The following is a 22,329-nucleotide window of genomic DNA, read 5'->3' as shown; positions in this document are numbered from 1 at the left end:
GCATCCTGCCTTGGTAATCTTATCCTTAAAAGGATAGTTTGGACTTTTGATCTCTAAGGTCCCTCTGGTTCGGAGTCCATAAAAAATATTTACCAGTGAGAAATGTCTATTTAACATAAATCAACTCTTAGGTATTAAATGAGCTTTCTCTCTTAATGAACAAGATTTCTGGAAATAAAATGCACATGTTTGGAGGAGGGACTGAAATTTTAAAAACAATTTCAAAATATGAACTATACCACTAGGAGGCAGTGTTGACATATAATTTAATTCAAGAATGTCTTTACCATAGCTCCTTTTCAGAAAAATATTTTAAAAAACGATGGATATAAAAATGATTAAAGGTTATAATATTTTGGTGGCAACAAAACTCTGAAAAGAATATTAAAGGAACATGCATTTTACACAGTAATAGAACAGCAAGTCCAATAAAATGTCATCTGTGAGTGAAAGCTTTAAATACTGAGCTTGGTTTGAGAATATAAGAGAAATGATAGATAACAACTTTGCCAAAAAAAAAAACAAAAAACAAAAAACAAGTGGAGTTCACTCTTGTTTCCACTAGCCATATGCAGCCTCTGAAAGTTGTGCTGCTTTGGCTCTGTTTCTGTGCATTGAGGGATTAGGGGTGGATTATTAACTCTTAGTAACAAAATTCTAGCAATTTCTTTGCCTTTCCATTTATTTATTTATTTGACAGAGTCTCACTCTGTCTCCCAGGCTGGAGTGCAGTGGTGCAATCTCAGCTCACTGCAGCCTCTGCCTCCCAGGTTCAAGTGATTCTCATGCCTCAGCCTCCCGAATAGCTGGGACTACAGGTGTGTGCCACCACACCTGGCTAATTTTTGTATTTTTAGTAGAGACAGGGTTTCACCATGTTGGCCAAACTGGTCTTGAACTCCTATCCTCAAGTAATCCGTCCACCTCCCAAAGTGCTGGGATTACAGGCGTAAGCCACCACACCTGGCCTATTTTTGTTTTCTAGAATTCCCTGACTGGCTCTCCAGAAAGAGCCAGTAGGGCCTCTTTTCCTTTTAAATACTGCCACCTGCTCCTTTAAAATTCCAGCATACTTGTGAAGTAGGTTTTTCTTTTAAATAGGTGAAGAAATTGAGGTATAGAGGTTTCATGTAAGACTTAGCAAATTGTAGAACCAGGATAAGAATAAAATACAAGCAATATAGTCTCATTGCTCTTCTTTTTAATAGCTGAAAAGAATTACAATTTCAAAACAGCTCAAACAATTCAATAATGTTTAGAAAGCTGCATGACCTCTTTTCTAATACACTGAGGGTAGTCATGTTTCTTCTAATAGTCTTGTATCTTCAGGCTTGAGCTTTTGTAGGAGAGTAGATATTAAATTATCAGAGAAAAATATCATAGTTCTCAATCTAGGAAACCAGGCTAGAGTTTGGAGAATCTCTACTTTTTTCTTATTATATTTTTTAAAAGCTACCAACTAATACAAGCTCACTCTGCTCAGCCTTATGGCCCAGAGGCACTAGGTGGATCCAGTGTTGACTAGGATGGAGAGGGCTGAAATATCCATCTCTCCTCCCCTCCTCCCCATTGGTCTATGTCTTTTACTGGTAGAAAAGTGGGTCACGAAACAGAAGAACTCTGAGAGCAGGACTCTGGGTATTGGATATTTATTGATCAGGTCTCATATGACTGACCTACTTATAAGAATAAACTTAAACAGGATGGTCTCCTTAAGTGTCTTGTAGCAATATTTTTCAAACTGTGGATCCAAACCCAGTAGTGGGTCATAAAAATCCATTTGAAAAGTCTCAACTAGCATGTTTTATAAATGAAATAGAATGAAAAGGAATGGAACAGAAAATACTAGGATGGATCACACATTTAATTTCGACAGTAAGATGTGATGTGTTTTGCTGGGTCATTATATAAATTGTGTTTGTTACTAAGGGTCATGTTCAAAAGAACTTGGAAGCCCCTTTCCATAGCGCTTTATCTGTCCCTGGCTGGTTGCTGAGTCCTTTATGACAGTTCATGTCTCATCCTCTTTGCTAGCCTACCAACTTCTTCAAGTGGCATTAACATCTGAATTACTTTTCCTGTGCAGCAGTGATTTCCATAATACTTTTCACAGGGTGGGTGCTTAGTGAACCTGTTCAAGATTTACTTTGTACTTATTTTGCTCCTAAGAAAATTTCTAAAACATACTTTAAAATTATCAAGTGCTATTTGTAATTCTATTTTGTTCAGGTAATAGCAATAATATGTGTAGGATGGCATTCATGAAAGCACTGCTTTTTAACCCCCTTTTCCGTATTTGTAGGAACTGTGACCCAAACACCTAGAAATTCATCAAAAATAGCTTCTATCGAGGCTACTGTGATTTGAATTTTTGTTTTTCAAAGAGCTCTTTCAGCTGCTGCTCAGTTGTGGCTTCTTTCTGCTGCATCAGCTCGGCTGTTCCTTTGGTCACTCCCCAGCCATCTGGCTTTGACATTGAAGGGTTGTATGGCCGGCCTGAGGCTATCCGAAGATTCTCCCAGTATTCCTTCCTGGCCCTGTGTGAACAAAACACATGACACCAGACAACAGACTCCTCCCCTAGCTTTGGTCTTTATATCATGGAACCATTTAAAAATTATATAATATTTTAAATAATTTCACGCAGCACACAAAGTTGCCTATCAGACATTAAAAAGCAAAGGTGTCAATCTCAGCCACCTGTGTGGGCAGTCTGTGGTTGTTTGGCTTCACCATGATTCCTGACTACGAATTTATATGCTACTGATAAACAATCATTTGCTTACACTTATCCACACATTAATACTTAACAGGAAAAGTATGACATACCATTAACACAGTGAAAAAATCATGTGCTCAGGGTAACTAAGCAGCACAGTAGCATCACTAGAATACCCGTGTCAGCTGCTGAACAGCAACAACCATCAGCAACAGGCTTTGTCTCCATCCATGATGCTGTGTTTTGATTAAAAGGTTACTGTACACTGTATTTTACTTTTGTAGATGAGAAGAAACATCAGAAGCAGTTGAGGGACTGGGAAGCGGTCCATTCTGCTGGAAGGCTTTTTACAGTGTTTCCTCCAGAGGCATCTGCCTCATTAACAATGGTTTTTGTCATAGAAGGTGCCCTTTGATGTAAAAACTGATGTGATTTCTTGTTCTGTTATGAGTGCACATTGAGGGAGCCATCTTTGGATTCTCAGAGTGCATCCATTAAAACACACATTAATCTGGACTAAAAATTCCACCCCCTCCCCTCAATCTGTAAGTCTAAAGTTACTTTGAATTTCTTTTTTGAGACAGGGTCTTACTCTGTCACCCTGTCTGGAGTGCAGTGGTACGATCTTGGCTCACTGCAACCCCCGCCTCCCAGGTTCAAGTGATTCTTCTGCCTCAGCCTTTTGAGTAGCTGGGATTATAGGCCTATGCCACCACATAGGTACAAAATTAGTACAGCTAATTTTTGTACTTTTTGTAGAGACAGGGTTTCGCCATGTTGCCCAGGCTGGTCTCAAACTCCTGAGCTCAAGTGATTCGCCTGCCTCAGCTTCCCAAAGTGCTGGGATTACAGGTGTGAGTCACTATGCCCACCTTGAATTTCTTCTTTTAATATATGTACAGGGAAAATTTGGGATAGGAGTACTGTCTATTCCACTTACACTACCTGTCCTTCCTCACATCCTCATGAGCCAGCTGAGTTCACCTTGGTTATTCTTCCCCAAACCCTGGATAACTTCTGCACCTCTCACTCTGCAGGCTCCACTTCTGCCCTTCTATTTCCTTTGCTTCCTTCTAGCTCAGGCCTCAACCTGTCTGCTGTCCCTCCTAGCAAGTCTTCCTCACATGGCGATTACAACTTGCTAACTTGCTAATCTAACCTTGCCCTGGGCTACCTGAGACCACCCAGGCTCCTCTTTGCCTTTGGGATGGGGTCCTACATAACTCCTGAGCATGAATAAAGAGGCTGCCTCCTCCTCCTGGGAGGTGTCTTTCACCAAATTCTGTCTCTGCTATTCTCAAACTTCCAGTTTCTCAATGTGTCATTCTCTTTCCACTTCTCAGTGCTTTCCTGAGGGCTGTTCCTCTAGCAATGTAATTCCTCTCGCAGAATTCAACTCAGGCATCAGCTTTCTTAGAAATCCTTCATTCACCCTCTCTCTGCCTTTTGCCCCTTGGGACATTAGCTCAGACCCTGCACACCTATGCACATCTTCATCCTTGGACTTACTATACTCATTGGACATTACCTGCTTATCGTTCTGCCTGCTAGATTGCTAGCTCCTTGTTTAGCTTGCTACCTCAGCATCCACAACAGCATCTGACAGATAGCTGTGCTCTGTTAATAGCTGCTGAACAGAGTGGAACTGCTACCTCTCCTTGGAGCACCTGTCCTCCACCCGCTTCCTAGTTCTCTATATGGTAGGAGCCTATTGAGCCTTCAAAATCCAGCCCCAAAACCCTTCTTTTAAAATATCTTTCTGTTAGGCAGAGATAGTCATTCTCTTCTCTTGTTACTTTTCTATCCATACATCTACTAAAGCAGCTACCACAGTATAATACATTGGCTTTCGTATTCTTTTACCCAGTAGACTGTGAGTCTCTAATCCACGGCTTCTCATTTCTATATTCCTACTGCCCTTCCCAGTGCCTGACATACATTTTTTTTTACTAGTGTATTATTCATCTTCCCCATTGGAATGTAAACTCTGAGGGCAAAGACCTTGCCTGTCTTATTTGCCACCGTATTCCCAGCTCTGAAAATCATGCTTGATATAGAACAATCAGTATTAGCTATACTTAAGTGGTCCTTAACTCTTAAAAATCAATGCAATTTAAGAGTATTGTGCACCACACTAATGGTGCTTTACTAGAGCACAAAATCACATTTCATTGCCACTTACGTTTATTTACATGCTATATTCTTTTTTTTTTTTTTTTTTAAAACAGGGTCTCACTCTGTTGCCCAAACTGGAGTGCAGTGGCGTGATCTTGGCTCACTGCAACCTCTGCCTCCCGGGTTCAAGCAATTCTTGTGCCTCAGCCTCCCAAGTAGCTGTGATTACAGGCATGCACCACTATGCCCAGCTAATTTTTTTTTTTTTTGTATTTTTAGTAGAGATGGAGTTTTGCCATCTTGCCCATGCTGGTCTCAAACTCCCGAGATCAAGTAATCCTCCTACCTTGGCCTCCCAAAGTGCTGGGATTACAGGCGCGAGCCACCGCACCCAGCCTATATTTAAAAACAATTTTTAAAAAAATTTTTCTTTTTCTTTTCAAAATCCAAAATCAGGTCAAATACGTTCTATATTCTTAAAACAATCTCCAGAAATCACCTAATAAGGATGCTTTGTAAACATCTCTGGGAGAGAATTTGGGGATGACTGATTCTTCATCATCACACAACAAATTTGCTGCAGTCTTCTAAATGGCCTCACTTGAACATATTCATAATCTAAATTAGTTTGGGTTAGTAAAAAGATGCTTACCTTGCTCTAACCCAGGGTTTGGTGTGCATGTCCAAACCACTTCCCCAGCTGCCATGTTTTTCTGAAGCTGGTGGCAAAAAGCCCCTTTCTGGGGCCAGCTCCTCTGCAATTGCCCTGATGTGGTAGGGCTCAAATCCACAGCACCCGCCAATGTACCTGACCCCCAGGTTGTAGGCCTCTCTGGCGTATTTTTGAATATCCCATCTGGTGGCAACTCTGGGTTCCAGTCCTGTAATAAGTGGCATTATGCCATTAGGCATTATACATTCTTTTCATAAAAATTCAAGATAAGTAGCTACAAGTATGTAATTTTCAATAAATGAATTGTTTTCAATATTCAATTTTTACATTTAAGAAAAAACTTTGCTACTTTGTGTTGTATGTTCACTTTTACATGCTGTGGTATCCAGCCTTCAGGAGGTTCCAAATGACCCCTGCCCTTTGATGTTTTTCTTCTTGTGCAGTCCCCTCTTGCATTATAACAGGGCTGGTCTGTGAGATCCATAGAATATGGCAGAACTGGCATGTGACTTCAGAGTCTAGGCTATACAAAACATCATGGTTTCTGCCTTGCACTTTCTTGGAGCACTCACCCTGGGGAAAGCCAGCTGCCATGTTGCAAGCATCACATGTTTCAAGCATGTTTTCTAGCATCACAGTGAAAAGGCCCATGAGCTGAGGAACTGAGGCCCCCAGTCAACAGACAGCAAGAAACTGACACTAACTCCCAAAAACCAATTAAGTGAGCTAGGAAGTAGATCCCCCAGCTCCCAACAGGCCTTCAGGTGATAATAGCCCTGGCAAATATCCGGACTCCAACCTCTTAGGAGACCCTGAACCAAAACCACCTAGTTATGCTATCCCTGAATTCTTGACCTGGAGAAACTGTGAGATAAGAAGTGGTTTTTCAAGCCACTACATTTTGCATTAATTTAATGTGTTATACAGCAGTAAGTAACACAAATGCCTTGCCTTTCTTCCTCTGTGGCTCCTCCAGAGTGATTGTATTTTATAATATCTTACTTGTCTAAGGGTCCCTATAAAATATAGGATAGGGTGTAAAGACCTTAGAAGGAAATAGGAGGCTGGGCATGCTCTGCCCCTGCTGACCACTCTGGCTTAATTTGTGAGATCAACCCACCCGCTCTTCCCAATCATGCTGGGAAAGTTTTTCCTTCTGCCTGGACTGCAAGTATCCCCTCACTTCATCTGCTTGGTCTCTTCATTAAAACTTGTTATACAGTCACTCGATGATGGTATCTTGCCTGCAATCCCAAAACTCTGGAGTAGCTGAGCCATATTAAAAATTGGAGAAAAGGACCTTAGAGATAACTGGTCTGATCTTATTTTCCCAATAAAGAATTTGAGAGCTAGAGGAATTTAAAGATTTTCCTAAGGTGACAGGACTTAGCAACAGAGCTGGAACTAGAACTAAATATCTGTTGATTCTCCCATGAAGGGCATCCTCACCAACCCCAAAGTATGACTCACTAGTTGTCTGTTTAGATGCTGATTCACCTTAGATTTTATATTTAAATTCAGAGATCTTTTTTGCTAGCTGGGACCATCCTTTCCTTCTGCTCTTCTCTAATACGAAGGGGCTTTTGGCTGCAGGGACAGAAACCAGGGACAAGACATGAGGAGACACCAAGCCATCTCTTCACTATGACAAAAGATCTCTGGGTATAGATTTACTTGAGTTTATATGCATATCAAATGAAGATATTGAGATGATTCATCAAATGTTGGTCTTACCAAATGGGAATTCTGGGAGATCGATGAATCCCTGCTTGTTGCAGTCAGGAGTGTGGTAAGCCAAGGGCTGGCTCATCAGGTGAGCTTTCAGTCGGGCAGCCTCCAAGCCCTCCTTCATGAGCTTCACTGTTTTTAAACTAATGGTGGGGTCAAAGTGGCAGTTCACACCAATGATGGATGCTCCTGTGAGTGGGAAGAACATGATAGACTTAGGGATGCACCAGAAACCAGCAGGGCCAGCTCTCCTCTCTTCATCAGGAATCAGGAAGTTCTTTTTTCATTTTTTGAGACACAATCTCACTCTGTTGCCCAGGCTGGAGTGCAGTAGCGTGATCTCAGCTCACTGCAGTCTCCACCTCAAGTGATCAAGCAATCCTCCCACCTCAGCCTCCCAAGTTGCTGTGACTACAAGTGTGTGCCACCACGTCTGGCTAATTTTTGTTTGTTTGTTTGTTTTTTTATAGATATGGGGTTTCGCCATGTTGCCCAGGCTGGTCTCGAACTCCTGAGCTCAAGTGATCCAACAGCTTCCCAGACTGCTGGGATTACAGGCATGAGCCACCACACCCAGCAGGAAGCTTTTAATTGGAATGATGAACTGGAAGCATAGCATTAGGTCCTCATTCCCCACAAACCTCTTACCTTTGAGTGAGAATGATTACTAGCAGGCAGGAAGTGCTTTCTGTGAAAGTGCTTTGAAGAGTCTGGTATAATTGAAGTGTAATTTGTGCACATTTGGCTGTCCATCTCTTTTTTTTTTTTTTTTTTTCTGAGACACAGACTCTTGCTCTGTTGCCCAGGCTGGAGTGCAGTGGCACGATCTCAGCTCACCACAGCCTCTGCTTCCTGGGTTCAAGTGATTCTCCTGCCTCAGCCTCCTGAGTAGCTGGGACTATAGGCGCACACCACCACGACAGGCTAATTTTTGTGTTTTTAGTGGAGACAGGGTTTCACCATGTTGGCCAGGATGGTCTCCATCTCCTGACCTTGTGATCCGCCCAGCTCAGCCTCACAAAGTGCTGGGATTACAGGTGTGAGCCACCATGCCCAGCCCTATCCATCTTTTTTCAAAAAAAAATTATTAGAATTTTTTTAAACTTCAAATTTTAGTAGTCAAACTTTCAACGTTGGACATTATGTTGCAAGCACAATAATTTTTCAACACTCCCAGCTGCTAGACTACACCTGTGTTTACCATACTGCTTGCTTGAGGTGTAAATAAATATTCCTTTTCACCAGGCCAACTTAATAAGTTCATTAGCCTTCTTGGGCACAGCAGCAGAATGTAATTTAGAAAAAAGTTTTTTAGACACGTGTTTGCTAGAAGGAATTTTGTGTCTAGGATTAATAGTTTGGGGAAAAAGAATCTCAAAAATCCTTTGACTTCAGCTACTCAATGTGGTTACTAGCCTATCAATCATTTTGACAAGCTTTTAATTTACATTTCAGCCTCCCCAGACTCACAACTATATGGGATTGTCTTCCTACAGTATTCTTGTAAAATTTGGTGCTGTGAAGTTTGATTTAGTGAGAACAAACTATGTTTTAGATATTTCATTTTCTTCAAAAACTTTCTTTATAGTCATTATGTTCTTAACTATATTTGGACCACAGATGATTTACCATGGCAATCACTAGACATGATTTTGGAAGTTTCCTCCTCCAGAAGATTTGAGAAGGCATTATGACATTATAATTCTTTTACTCTCTCCTCTCAAAGTGGGAGGAATTCCCAAATAGGACTTTTCTTTCCTTTTTTTTTTTTTGCATTTTAAAAATGGTGGTAAAATATATATCATGTAAAACTGGGCATTTTAACCTTTTTAAAAAATTTTATTTTTTTGTAGAGACAAGGCCTCATTATGTTGCCCAGGCTGGTCTTGAACTTCTGGCCTCAAGCGATCCTCACACCTTTGCCTCCCAAAGTGCTGGGATTGTAGGCATGAGCCCCTGCATCTGGCGCATTTTAGCCATTTTTAAGTGGCATTAATTATATTCACAATGTTGTGCAACCATTATCACTATTTCCACATTTTTTCGATACCCCAAAGAGAAACTCTACCCATTAAGAACTAACTCCTTATTTTCCCCTTCTGCTAGCCCCTGGTAACCTCAAATCTACTTTCTGTCTCTGTGGATTTGCCCATTCTAGATATGTCATATAAACAAAATCATATGATATTTGTCATTTTGTGAGTGGCTTAGTTTACTTAGCATGATGTTTCCAAGGTTCATCCCTGTTATGGCATGTTTGAGAACTTCATTTCTTCTTATAGCTGCATGATATTTCATTGTATGGATACACCACATTTTGTTTTATCCATTCACCTGTTGATGAACTCTGAGATTGTTTCCACCCCCAAAAAGGACTTTTTTGGGCCAGGTGCAGTAGCTCATGCCTGTAATCTTAGCACTTTGCGAGGCTGAGGCGGGTGGATTACCTGAGGTCAGGAGTTCAAGACCAGCCTGGCCAACATGGTGAAACCCCGTCTCTACTAAAAGTACAAAAATTAGCTGGACGTGGTAGTACACATCTGTAATCCCAGCTACTTGGGAGGCTGAGGCAGGAGAATCACTTGAACCCAGGAGGTGGAGGTTACAGTGAGCCAAGACGGTGCCATTGCACTCCAGCCTGGGCAACAGAGCAAAAACTCTGTCTCAAAACCAACCAACCAACCAACGAACCAACCAACCAACCAACCAACCAACCAAAAAGGACTTTTTTGGATGGACTCATGGCCTAGGATTTTGTATTTTGTATATAGAGATACCAAGAACAAGAGCAAGAGAGATTATTTCTGGATGCAGCATGAGTGATGAGTGACCCCAGTGTTCAGCTCCCAGGAGCAGCAGAGCTGGTGCCACAACCCATGGAATCCAGTGGTGAGTGGCAGGTGTCTTTGCTGTTGCTGGGCTGGGTCTGCAGTTTGCTCTTCATTCTTGTTCCAAGTAGGCCTCACTCCCCTTCATTCCTCTGAAACAGCTTTTGTTAAGGTTACCAATGACCTCAACCTTGCCAAATCCAGCAGCTGCTTCTCTGTTCTCATCTCACTGAAGCTCTCAGCAGTATGCAACCTAGTGGACAACTTCCTCCTTCATTGACACTCCCCTTCTCTTGGCTTCTGCAACTTCCCACACACTGTCCAAGTATTGTTTCTACTTTGCTGGTTTATTATTTTAATAAATGTCCTGTTTAATATTCTTTTTAAAAATGTCTTCATGTTCTGTGCTGTCTCCTCCTCAAGGCTAAAACTCTCAACTGGAGTGTTCCAAGATTGCACTGATTCATCTTTTCTTCCCCATTTAAACTTCCTTTTCTGTCCTAGGCTTTCAATACCATCTATATCCAGGTCTCTCCCATATTCCTCTCTCTTACCCTGACCTTCCCATTGGGCTCCAGATTTGAATATTGTGGATATATGCAAGTATCCAGAAGTAAATATACTTGTATGTGTGTGTATACCTATGTAGCCAGAATATGTGTGTGTATATATACATATACTTATATATTTTATATATATATATTCATCAGATTGTGTATACATATACTCACAAGTATATATATCCACAATATCCAAGTCTGGAACCAAGTGGGAAGATCATTGATATCAACTAAGCTATAAGCTGTTGAAGATTTTTGGCTACCCTTTTTTTTTGGATGTTGTGCTGCCAGAGTTTCTCTTTCCTTGCTTAATTAACTTCATTATATTAATAAATTAATAATATGTTGGCTATTTATTGGATGTCTTTTAGGTGTAAGCCTCCTTGCAAGAGATTATAGAGAAGTAGAAATAAAGGACATTGTTCCTGACATCAACAATTTTATAATTTAGCACAGGGTTTTCCAAGGTTTGGTCCATGAAAATAATGTTCCATGATCAATTAAGTTAGGAAGTAGCTGTTCACCACATCACCTTCTTGGAGACTAGGAATATATGTGAACATATCAAAGATATTGATAAGTTCCACAGTAAAGATATCTGCCTAAGGCCGGGCGCAATGGCTCACACCTGTAATCCCAGCACTTTGGGAGGCCGAGGCGGGTGGATCACGAGGTCAGGAGTTCGAGACCAGCCTGACCAAATAGTGAAACCCCGTCTCTACTAAAAAATACAAAAAATTAGCCAGGCATGGTGGCGGGTGCCCATAATCCCAGCTACTCGGGAGGCTGAGGCAGGAGAATCGCTTGAACCTGGGAGGCGGAGATTGCAGTGAGCCAAGATTGCGCCATTGCACTCCAGCCTGGGCTGCAGTGTGACAAGACTCCGTCTCAAAAAACAAAACAAAACAAGATATCTGCTTAATTTGGTTTAACACAGCATTTTCTAAATGTATTTAACCACAGAACCCTATTAACATTCTCGATGATTGGAAACTATAGACTGAGGATATTCTTTTTTTTTTTTTTTTTATTGAGACGGAATCTCGCTCTTTCGCCCAGGCTGGAGTGCAGTGGCGCAATCTCGGCTCACTGCAAGCTCCGCCTCCCGGGTTCACGCCATTCTCCTGCCTCAGCCTCCCGAGTAGCTGGGACTACAGGCGCCCGCCACCAGTCCCGGCTAATTTTTTGTATTTTTTAGTAGAGGTGGGGTTTCACTGTGTTAGCCGGGATGGTCTCGATCTCCTGACCTCATGATCCACCCGTCTCTGCCTCCCAAAGTGCTGGGATTACAGGCGTCAGCCACCGCGCCCAGCCATTTTTAAAACTTTTCCTCTGGGATTCAATAATATCAATATTCTTACAAAAATAAATTAATGGTTTTTATGTTAACGAAAGTAGTATACACTGATTTGTAGACAGATGTGCACTAGTGTGTTCTTTTAAGACTTACTAATCACAAACTGATTGAAATCTATCATCACCTGCTTTCACCAGGCGCACTGCACACTCGCCGGGGGGCACGCCATGCAAATCTCCTTCTGGGCCAATGCACATGGTTGCTGCCACAGGTTTACCGGATGCTATCAAGGTTTCAACTGCCCACACAGCTTCTTCAACGTGTTCAAAATACTGGAATCAGTTAAGGTTAGAGTACTTTTAATCTCGTTTCTCCCAAAACAATTTTTTTTTTTTTTTTGAGACGGAGTTTTGCTCTTTCACCCAGGCTGGAGTGCTGTGGTGCGATTTCGGCTCACTGCAACATTTGCCTCCCAGTTTCAAGCAATTCTCCTGCCTCCGCCTCCCAAGTAGCTGGGATTACAGGCGCCCGCCACCACGCCTGGCTAATTTTTGTATTTTTAGTAGAGACGGGGTTTCACCATGTTGGCCAGGCTGTTCTCAAACTCCTGACCTCGTGATCCACACGCCTTGGCCTCCCAAAGTGCTGGGATTACAGGTGTGAGCCACCGTGCCCAGCCTTTCCCAAAACAATTTGAAAATGTATTCTATTGCTTAAAAACTTCATTATTACTGTTTTCAAACTTTGAATTGTGACCCATTAGCATTTTTAAAATGAAATAGAATGATTTCTTACTGTAAATTGCAGTCAAAAAGTTTGAAAAACACCATATCAGATTAATTAAATCAAATTTAGTAGTAGCCCTGAATTGGAAAACGATTTCAAAAACTAAATATTACTATTGCTAGTTATGATTGTCACCTAACCCCACACAGTACTCTTGAAAGCAAAAGGTAGAGAAAATGTACTAGGTGTATTTGTCTTATCTTTCACCACATCTTTCTTTACCTCTGCAATCAAGAAGTCCACGTTCTTCTTCATAAAGACCTCTAACTGTTGCAGAAATACTTTTTTGACTTCAGTTTCACTCTTGCAGCTAAGGTATGAAGGTGTCTGACTCACTCCTCCTGCTACCAAAGCATCTCCTTCATCAGCCACTTGTCGGGCGATGTCGCAAGCAGCTTCATTGACTTCCTGCCCCTAAAATGGGTGAGTATATGAGACATCTAAATTTTCATGTGAAATTGAAATAAAATTATTATTCAAACATTCACATCTTAGTTGTATATTTACAATAGTATCTTATTCCAGAAAATGACTGTTATGGAATAGTTCAAAGCTTTACCAAGTTGAACAGTTTGCCATAACAATAACACTAATAATAGTGATAGTAACAATAAATATATATATGACATTACATTGTACCAAAGATGTGTGAGATGGTAAAAGTTTTTACATTGAAGGATGTTATCTGGTATCTTCCAGTGCCTGAGATGCACTTAGAAGAGTACCTAACAAATAGTAGTGGTGGTGATGATGATTTGCTTTTATGATTGAGAAGATTAAAATTAAATTTAAATACCTGTAGAATTCAGGATGTTTTTGTATGTATATTCTCAATTAACAGATACATGCATAACTAATAAGGTCTTTTCTAATTATTTAGACTTTAAAAGTTGTTTGTTATGCTCAACAAACAAAAAGCTCCCCAAACCTAGCACTGTACACTCGTGGAATTTTGGAAACCTCAGCCTTGATGGGGTAAAGGGGTTGGTTCAACATCACAAAGTAGACATGCTTGAGTCAGGCACTATTCCAGGTTTACTGATTTATTATGCCTATGATCTTTCCTCTAGCCATGCTACATTTAAAAACATTAAGGACGAAAGAATTTGTAAGGTTGCCCAATTTACTCAGCAACTTAGTCAAGAGACTGGGAGAATCATTAATCATTAAATACCTCTTCTTCATCTGCTTCGCTAAATGCCTCTTTGTTAATTTTGGGGATTCCAGCTAAATAAAACCTAAGGTTGTTATTCACGCCTCTCATTTTTGTATTATTAGAAATAAAACAAAACTCTGAAGAGGTTGAACCCTTTTCTCTATGGGAGCTTTGTTGATGCAATAGGTCGACAATATCCTTCTAAAAGTCCCACGGCTGGTTTTACTCACAGATATCTTCTCTAAGACATAGTTGCCCCTGTTCTCCAGCTTGTCTTCACTCGCATAGAAGGTGAAGGTCTGCATGACGTTTGAGCCAGCTCTGAGGAACTCTCGATGAAGCTGGCGAACTGGGAGAGTGAATGAGGAAAGGTATAATTTCTGTTTATTAACACACGATATTTTCAAATGGCTCTCAGATAAACAAGCAGGAAAACAACTGCTTGAATTTCTGGTTGCTTGACATTTGCACATCTTAGGGGTAGATGAGAGGTAGATCTGAAGTCTCTTGGAAACTCCTGTGAACCTGCTATGACTAGATGAATGGGTGGGCAGGGGGTGCTCATATTCCTGTATTTGCTCATCTTGTTCATTGTTTATTTTGTTTATCATTCATTGACTGTATTTGTGGATGGCACCCATGGACACAAGGATAAACAATCCATTATTCTGTCTTTGGACAACTTCACAGTCTGTCCAGAAATAACTGACTACAGCACTGCATGGTTGGGCTATGCAGGAAGAAGGGATCATTTCTACCCAGGACATGGGGCAAGGGGGCGAAGGAGGTCCAAAGATGAGGAATCATTTGAGCTGCACTTGGAAGAATTCAATGCTACTGCCAGGCAGAGAAGGTGGGGAAGGGAATTCCATCCAGAGAGAATAGCCTGAGCAAAGATAATAAAGCGGGAACAGGCATGGCATTTGGGGGAATGACAAGTACCTTGAGTGGCTGGAGTTGATGAATCAGGGAAATATATAGTTTTTAAGCAACTGGATGATGTAATTAATACAGTGTTTTCAAAAGATAATTCTGGTAGCATGGTGAAATAAGAATTGGAGCAAGATTTCCAAGCACAGTTCCATGGATGAATACCAAATGGCAAAGTTTGTTTGTTTGTTTGTTTGTTTGTTTGTTTTTTGAGATGGAGTCTCATTCTGTCACCCAGGCTGGAGTGTAGTGGCGTGATCTTGGCTCACTGCAACCTCTGCTTCCTGGGTTCAAGCAATTCTCCTGCCTCAGCCTTCCAAGTAGCTGGGACTACAGGCACCTGCCACCACGCCTGGTAATTTTTTTGTATTTTTAGTAGAGGCAGGGTTTCGCCATGTTGGCCAGGATGGTCTTGAACTACTGACCTCAAGTGATCCGCCCACCTCAGCCTCCCAAAGTGCTAGGATTACAGGCGTGAGGCCTCCAAATGGCAAAGTTTTATCAGCTGGAGGAAATATGGTGGGATTTTTTCCCCATATAGCTAAAAGTATTCAGTTTAAGAAATTATCATTTGTTTTAAAATAGCTGTCCTAAGCTGTGGTTGCCCATTAGATCCCCTGCAAATTAAAATTACGGATTGGAATGTCAAATCCACAGATATTCTGACTTAAATGGTTTGGAGTGAGGCATAGGCATCTTTTTTTTTAAGTTTCCCCAACCCATCTTTGTTTTCAGCCTTGTCAAAAACTGCCATTGTAAGATAGTGGAAAAAAACTCCTTTTATAAAATGACTGTGAAACTTGGATTTCACAAAAACTTGGTTGTTTTCGTTAGGAGAATTAACTGGGCAAAGTAAGAAATCAGCATGCTATTAATATATCAGCTCCTGAAAATTATTTTGAAATTTCAGAGGTTTATGAAATCCAAAGGTCCAGGAGCAACTATATGACAGGCTAGGAAATTACTAGGACACTGAAGTTCTTAGCTCTCAGCGCTAACGCTGGAGATGAGTCTATACTCATCTCTTGTCTCCCAGACGACTAGTAGAGTAGAGTAACTGGAACATAGAAACCTTGGTTTTTGTTTTTAAAGAGATGAATACACAAGTGAAAAAAGCTTTTAAATTTTAGAAAATGCATTTGTAAGCTTGTAGCCAAAGATTTTCCATGATTTTTTAAATCATAGAAAGTTCTCAGTGGGACCTCAAAAGCATCCCTAAATTAGCGGGCTTCAAACTTGTTTTAATTAATAACAGAACCAATGAAAAATATAGGGAGTTCCATATATCAATCAGATAAACCCAGAGCTGCTGTGGCTGGAGAGGGCTGAAAGGCCTATATACTAGGTTTCTGGACACTAGGAATAAATGGTTTATAACTACGAAGTCCACTCACATGGTCCTTGGGTGGAGTTCCAGAGGTTTCATGAAAAAAACCCTGGAAATGTGTGCAAATTGTTATGTATAAATACATTTTACAGTGCAGAAGGTCTATAAAATTTTATCAGATTTTTCCACAGGGCAGTGATCCCAAACAGTTGAAGACAACTCCTCACTCTTGATTATTCATCATGCTTCTAAAACTGCAGTGATTCTCTAAGTATGATCCATCTTAGAGTCACCTGGGGGCAATTATCAGAAAGGCAGATTCCTCAAACTCTTCCAGACCCCGATAACCTGAATTCATTGCTGAATTAAAGCTGCTTCCACTGGGTGCAAGAACCATAACTTTGGGCATAAACTTTAGCAAGAGAATGAGGCTGGTAATTTGAGTATCCTTTCACCTACTTTTTCCTGACCACAAGGTTCCTACTCTAACCCATAATACAATAGGGCTAGTCCCTTTTACTCAATGACGTCGCTTATACTAATTGATTACCTTCATTTTATGGCCTTAACTCCTCATTATATTACTTATTTTAAAATCATAGAAGCTAAATGTACATTGATACATGATTATATATGTACATGGCATAGTTGGAGATTAGCCTTATAGATTTAGCTTGAGAAATGCAAGTTTTTAAAATTCCACAGCAAACTCTAAAAGGTCAAATAAAATTCTGAAGTATTTCTTCAGTTGGGTAAGTTTGCAGCAAAACCATTTGGGGGCAAAATATGACCTGAACCAACATGAAGGTATTGATAAACATGTTTCAATTAGTAAGGGTAGTCATGTATTTTGATGCAAAAATGTATTAATGTGTTTCAATGGGAGCTGCTTCAGGGCCCATTGGGAGTGTTACATAATATGCTACATTTGTACTGTATTAACTTTCTAACATCCCCAGATTCCTGGATTCCAAGATATGTTTGACCCCAAAATGTGGTTTGGACAGGGGATTGTGGGCCTGTAGCATAACCACTCCTTTCTTTTTGCCCAGAACATGAAAAAGTCAGGCCCAGGCATGAGATATATAAAAATGTTGCAGGTGAAGTCCAGCTTGCAGGAAGACTCTTCAGGGGTTTCCATCAATTCTAGCTACCACTCAGTCTAAATTACAAAAGCGCTGCAGATACACAAAATCATTTGCATAAAATAGCTCAAGCGATCCTCCTGCCTCAGCCTCCCAAGTAGCTGGGACTACAGGAGTGCACCACCATGTCCAGCTAATTTTTAAAAAACTTCTGAGAGACTAGGTCTCCCTATGTGCCCAGGCTGGTCTTGAACTCCTGGGCTCAAGTGGTCTTCCCACCTCAGCCTCCTGAGTTGCTGGGATTACAGGCATGAGCCTCCACACCCGGCTCCTTTATGAGAACTTACAATAGAGCTCTGCACCAACCTGCTTCTGGGTGCTCCACAGCAGCTTCAGGAGTCCAGGGTCCTGCCTTTACGTAGCCCCTCTTCTCCAGTGCAAAGACAAACCCTCCATCTCCAATCACAATCTCTCCAGCATTTAAACGTTCTAGGATGCCCTAAAATTACAGATGAGGGAGGAAAAGGAGTTACTTGAGTGTTTAAGATAATTTTCTATTTTTATTACTTTTGCTAACATATTCTTGGAGATGTGTGGTTATTTTAGAATTTTCAGAGAAAAATGTATATTTTATATATACATTTATGGCTATCTATAAGACAAACAACCAGAATGCTCATAAAATAAACATTTGTGTATTCCTTTGTATGTGCTGTGGGTGGGGGGGTCTTTCTTAACACGTTAAAGAGTATTTGAAGAACACCGTGGGAGGTGTGTTTGAAGAACTGTCTGCTGAGGGATTAAATGAAAAGATTTTGTTGTAAAGCCTCAAATCTGCACTTAAGCACAGATTCTTAAAATGGTAAATACTAGTCTTCTTACTCTATCAACAAACTAAAGAGAGGGTTAAAAAATTGTTAAAGAAGTTGAAATGGCATAGAATGCTATTTTTTTTTTTTTTTCTTAGAGACAGCATCTCACTATGTGCCCAGAGGAACTTGAACTCCTGGGCTCAGAAGATCCTCCAGTCTCACCCTCCCCAGCAGCCAAAACTACAGGCTCGTGCCACAGTGCCCAGCAATGCTATTAAGCCATTTTATTTTAAGACTGAAAAGGTGGCCAAATCACTCAAAGACTTCTATCTTTGGTGTTAAAATTCAGTTTCCACAACAGTAGCTATGCTATACAGTCCAGGTTATGAGTGTGCACATGCTGTACTCTATGATGAGAACAAGGAAGAGACAACTAAAGTATTTGTTGAATGATTTTTCAGCCCAATCTCCATACTTATTCCATTTACAATACTGTGCAGTAATCACCCTGGTGTTGTTCTATGGATAACTTTGGAATTAAGTATTTTGAAAGGGTTTTGTGAATTACAAAGTAATTCTCTAGTTTAATAGATTTTTTGTAATTTCAAAGAATCATAGACTTTAAAAATAAATAGTACTCAATTCAATTGAGATCTCTCTCTCATTTCACAAATGAGAAATTAAGACCCAGAGTCCCTGAGTAATTTATACATGGTTTTCCAGATGGGGAGCATAGGGCTTCCTGACTCTTTTATGCTTAAATAACATCTATATTTGATTTCAAATGGGATTGGGGGTGGTGGGACAGCCCTGAAAAAAACTGTATAGTGTAAAGGAATAACTTGGGACGTATTTACCCAGTGTGTTCCACTTACTACCAATAACAGTGGATAAAACAAAAGCTGACATAATAACAAGATTCCAGAAATCTGTGAGAGGCAGTCACAGGATTTTGCATCCCAATTCCTTGCCACCTTCTTAGAACCTCCCTCATTTTCATTCTCTTCCCCTCCACTGCCCCTTCCCATGCCATTTGGACAGCTGGTGCTCAGAGAGAGGAAACAATTGACATTTCACCAGACAGAAGCAAAGTGGTAGGATTATGCTGTGTGTTCCCTAATATACCTTTCAGATCAAAACATTTTCAAGCCATAGTGTTGAAGCCTTGTTATCTTATGGGAGCCCATAAGATAACAAAGCACAACAAAAATATAAATGGCTCACACGTCATTTTGAAATCCAAATATTTGTCATGATTGCAATGTATCTAAATGTCACATCTGAAAACTGCAACTTTGATTATGACCTAATTAACAACAACAATAATATATATATGTATACATATATATAAATATATATATATATATACTACTGCCAGCACAGTTACATAAAAAACATAACAAGGGTCACTTAAATGAGATATGACTTGCTACTAACTTTTATTTGGATAAAATAATTCATGACATTTGGGCAGTTAGCAGCTCCCATTGAACGTGTGTGTTTTCAAATTTTAGTACCACAGCATTTTAATGTGCAGCATAGCTAAGGATCTGATGCTGGGTGGCAGGGTGGGTAGTGGCGATTCAATTACTATGTGGCTCATGCACTTGTTGAGTGGTTACCTCTGGAAATATGATCTCTTACATTCTATTGCATTTTAAAATTATCTAGACTTCAGGATTTTCTGTTCCCAAGCTAAACAGACTTTTTAAAAGGTGGAATGTGCTATGAAAAAAATATACCATTTTGTGAAAAAGTATTACAAAACAGTATATGTAATATCAGCCCATTTTTGTCTAAGAAGTGCATATTTGCCTCAACAACAAACTAGCAGAATATACACCAGAATTTAACAGGCACTGTTCTTTGTGCTTTCCCTCATTGTTTATAATGAACATGTGCAAACTTTGTAACATTTATTTTAATTTTAAACTCAAATGTGTAGACATGTTATTGTCCATATATTGTTTTAACACTGACATATGCACGGAAACAAGTTACTAGGAAACTGTTTTTTCCATCTTACATTCATCTGTTGCTTAGATAATTCTACAAAGATAATTCTTTAAAATGTTAGATTTTCTGAGTTTGAGTTTGGGGAATAAGTTAGACTTACGTGGCTATGAGAATGGGGACAAACAAAAAATATCTATATCTATAGGAATCATCCTTCCCAGTCTCTGTGGACTATTCATTTAGTACATTTAGGGACTGGCGAAATTCTCACCCTCCTTTGACTGGTGATAGTCCATAGTCCTTTGCCATCTCAACACCCACTCATGCCATCAACATGCATCCACGATGCTGCATTTAGAATCTGTAACCGAATTGACCTTCTTCCTTGTGTAGAGGTCTTTTTGATTTGGGAGGCCATCCCTTTAGAAACTGGGCACACCTCAGCTGGTTCTCCAGCAGGGCAGGCACTGGGATGAGAGCTGGACCTTTCTCACTGTCCTTACAGCCCAGAGGATACAGTTGGCCTGGCCCCATCTGCCTCCCTACCATTTTCCGGGGGCCTCTGTCGTGCCAGGCCTGGGACTGGGCATTTGACCAAAAGGTCAAGTTTATTCTCTCCTCCCTCCATCCTTCTCTCTCTCTTCCCACCTGTCCAGTCTCATTCCACGGCAGTCAGTCCATCTATCCATCCGTTCCCCAAATTAGAGGAAGGCCTACCGTCTGGACTGAAAATACCCCTCCCAACAAGCCACTGGGATAGCCAAGAGATGGACTTGTTCATCTGGAGCTGGAATTGGGTTTTACAATTTCATCAACAGCCCTTCCTCAGTATCTTACAGCCACTCTGCCCATTTTTTCTTAAACCATGTTTTCGAGGCTGACATTTCGGATGACATTTTTCTGTCATCACGGACATCAAATTGCCTGTGAAAATCTGCAATCACCCAACCAGCGCCTGGGCCTTGGGTGCAGCGAGAACCCGGCGGGGAGGCGGCCCCGACACCCGCGGTGCAGATCCAGGCGGGAAATGTCGGAGCCAGCGCCGTGCACTCCTCCCTGTTCTGGGCGCGCCGGGTGCAGAGGGCGCTCGCGGCGGCCTCGGACACAGATGCGGAGGGGCTCCGTGGGGACGGGATATCGCGCCTGCGGGGCTAGGAGCAGTATCTCTAGGGAGTTTTCTGGTCTTGGGGTGCCAGATTCAGAAGATATTGGAAGGCTCGGAGTTCTGGGGACACCCAGCCGTCAGGGAGGGCTCAGAGGGTGCCTTTGGGTCTGAGAGGCAAGGATCACATAGATCTGGGGCGCACTCTGGTCCAAGCTGGGCTGGGGCTGGAGGGGACAGAGGCGCTCTGGGGGCGCGCTCTGAACGTGGGGCAGGAGTGGGGAGGCTCAGAGGCGCCTTGGGGTCCTGCTGGAGAAGTTCTGGAAGCACATTCTGGTCTGAGGCTGAGGGAGGGGAGGGAGTAGGAGGATGATGGGTACCAGGCAGGGTCCGAGGGCCCCTCTGCGCTCCCAGAGGCTGGGATACAGAGCAGGTGGGAGGGGAAGGAGAGCGCCCTCGGGTCCCCTGGAGACTCACCTTCTTGGCCTTTTTGCCCCCAACGGGTGGCATCTTCGTGGTGTCCAGACAGGTGGTCGACACGGATGCGGACCGACTAGGCGAGCCTTCCCGCTGCGCAGCCCCGAGCTGCTCCGAGTCCGCAGCCTGCCTCTTTATACCCGCAGTTGGGCGTGGGGAGGGCCTCCCAGCCACCGCGCGGGCCAACACGGACCTTGGGCGGGAACACGCCCACCAGCCCTTCATCAGGCCCGCCTCCTGTTGGGAACCTGGCCTGCCAAGGAGGTAATCCAGATTGTTCACCCAAATGGGTGGAACCACCGAAAAGTAAGATAAGAAAAAGCGAGGTTGCCACTCGCTCAGATTTCAAACCTGCCTAGCGTCCCTTTTGCCTCTTGCACTTTTGCCCCGACCCTGACCGTCCTCTCGCTCACCTGGGATCATGCACCATGGCCCACTTAGGCTGCCAGAGAGGCCTCTGAGAAGTCCATTCGATGCTCAGATATTTGTCAAAGGCCAAGGCGTCAAGATTATGGAATCAGGGGATGAAGTCCTGGAAGATCTTCAGCCTGGAGTGTGATCTCCTGTGTGATATACATCCAGTATAACGGGACACAAATGCGGCTTTAGTAGAGGAGTCCAATACTAACCCTGAATTGGCGGGTATGTTCAAAATGACCTTCTACCCCTATACCCAAACATGCCTTGCAGTTTCTAATAACACAGTAGTTTCTAATAAGAATATGTTTGTAATATTTAACAAGGACAGACTTTTAACATTTATAAATGGAAGCAGAAA

General features: G+C 41.7%; 1 protein-coding gene and 1 long non-coding RNA gene across 2 annotated transcripts, besides 1 other annotated feature; one reads left to right on the top strand and one right to left on the bottom strand.

Moving 5' to 3' along the window:
- BHMT (betaine--homocysteine S-methyltransferase) lies at nucleotides 1,182-21,661 on the bottom strand. The gene is made up of 8 exons (NM_001713.3): nucleotides 21,552-21,661; nucleotides 17,571-17,703; nucleotides 14,093-14,211; nucleotides 12,929-13,120; nucleotides 12,105-12,252; nucleotides 7,242-7,424; nucleotides 5,487-5,715; nucleotides 1,182-2,537 (listed from the first exon to the last, which is right to left on the bottom strand). Exons 1-8 carry the CDS (start codon nucleotides 21,582-21,584, stop codon nucleotides 2,354-2,356), a joined length of 1,221 nt encoding a protein of 406 aa, NP_001704.2. The 5' UTR covers nucleotides 21,585-21,661; the 3' UTR covers nucleotides 1,182-2,353.
- LOC124901012 (uncharacterized) lies at nucleotides 14,155-18,663 on the top strand. Its single transcript, XR_007058837.1, has 2 exons — nucleotides 14,155-14,233; nucleotides 18,172-18,663. It is a non-coding gene; the product is annotated as an uncharacterized LOC124901012 (long non-coding RNA).
- Nucleotides 20,491-21,335: an enhancer, noted in NCBI's record as "H3K4me1 hESC enhancer chr5:78407958-78408802 (GRCh37/hg19 assembly coordinates)". NCBI's record gives its function as "activates a minimal SCP1, AML or CMV promoter by ChIP-STARR-seq in naive H9 embryonic stem cells {active_cell/tissue: H9 hESC(naive)}" and the evidence as "EXISTENCE:reporter gene assay evidence [ECO:0000049][PMID:30033119]".

The sequence above is a fragment of the Homo sapiens genome, chromosome 5 (genome assembly GCF_000001405.40).
Source record: "Homo sapiens chromosome 5, GRCh38.p14 Primary Assembly".
In the NCBI taxonomy this organism is placed as follows: Eukaryota; Metazoa; Chordata; class Mammalia; order Primates; family Hominidae; genus Homo; species Homo sapiens.
Note: the sequence above shows the minus strand (reverse complement) of the source record. Positions and strands in the feature narration are given on the sequence as shown.

Coding starts and splice junctions, on each gene's coding strand:
- BHMT (NM_001713.3), bottom strand. CDS start 21,584: ATGCCACCCGTTGGGGGCAAAAAGGCCAAGAAG. Junction 14,212..17,570: donor TGTGGAGCACCCAGAAGCAG/GTTGGTGCAGAG, acceptor TCACTCTCCCAG/TTCGCCAGCTTCATCGAGAG. Junction 5,716..7,241: donor TCTCCCAGAATTCCCATTTG/GTAAGACCAACA, acceptor CACTTATTACAG/GACTGGAACCCAGAGTTGCC.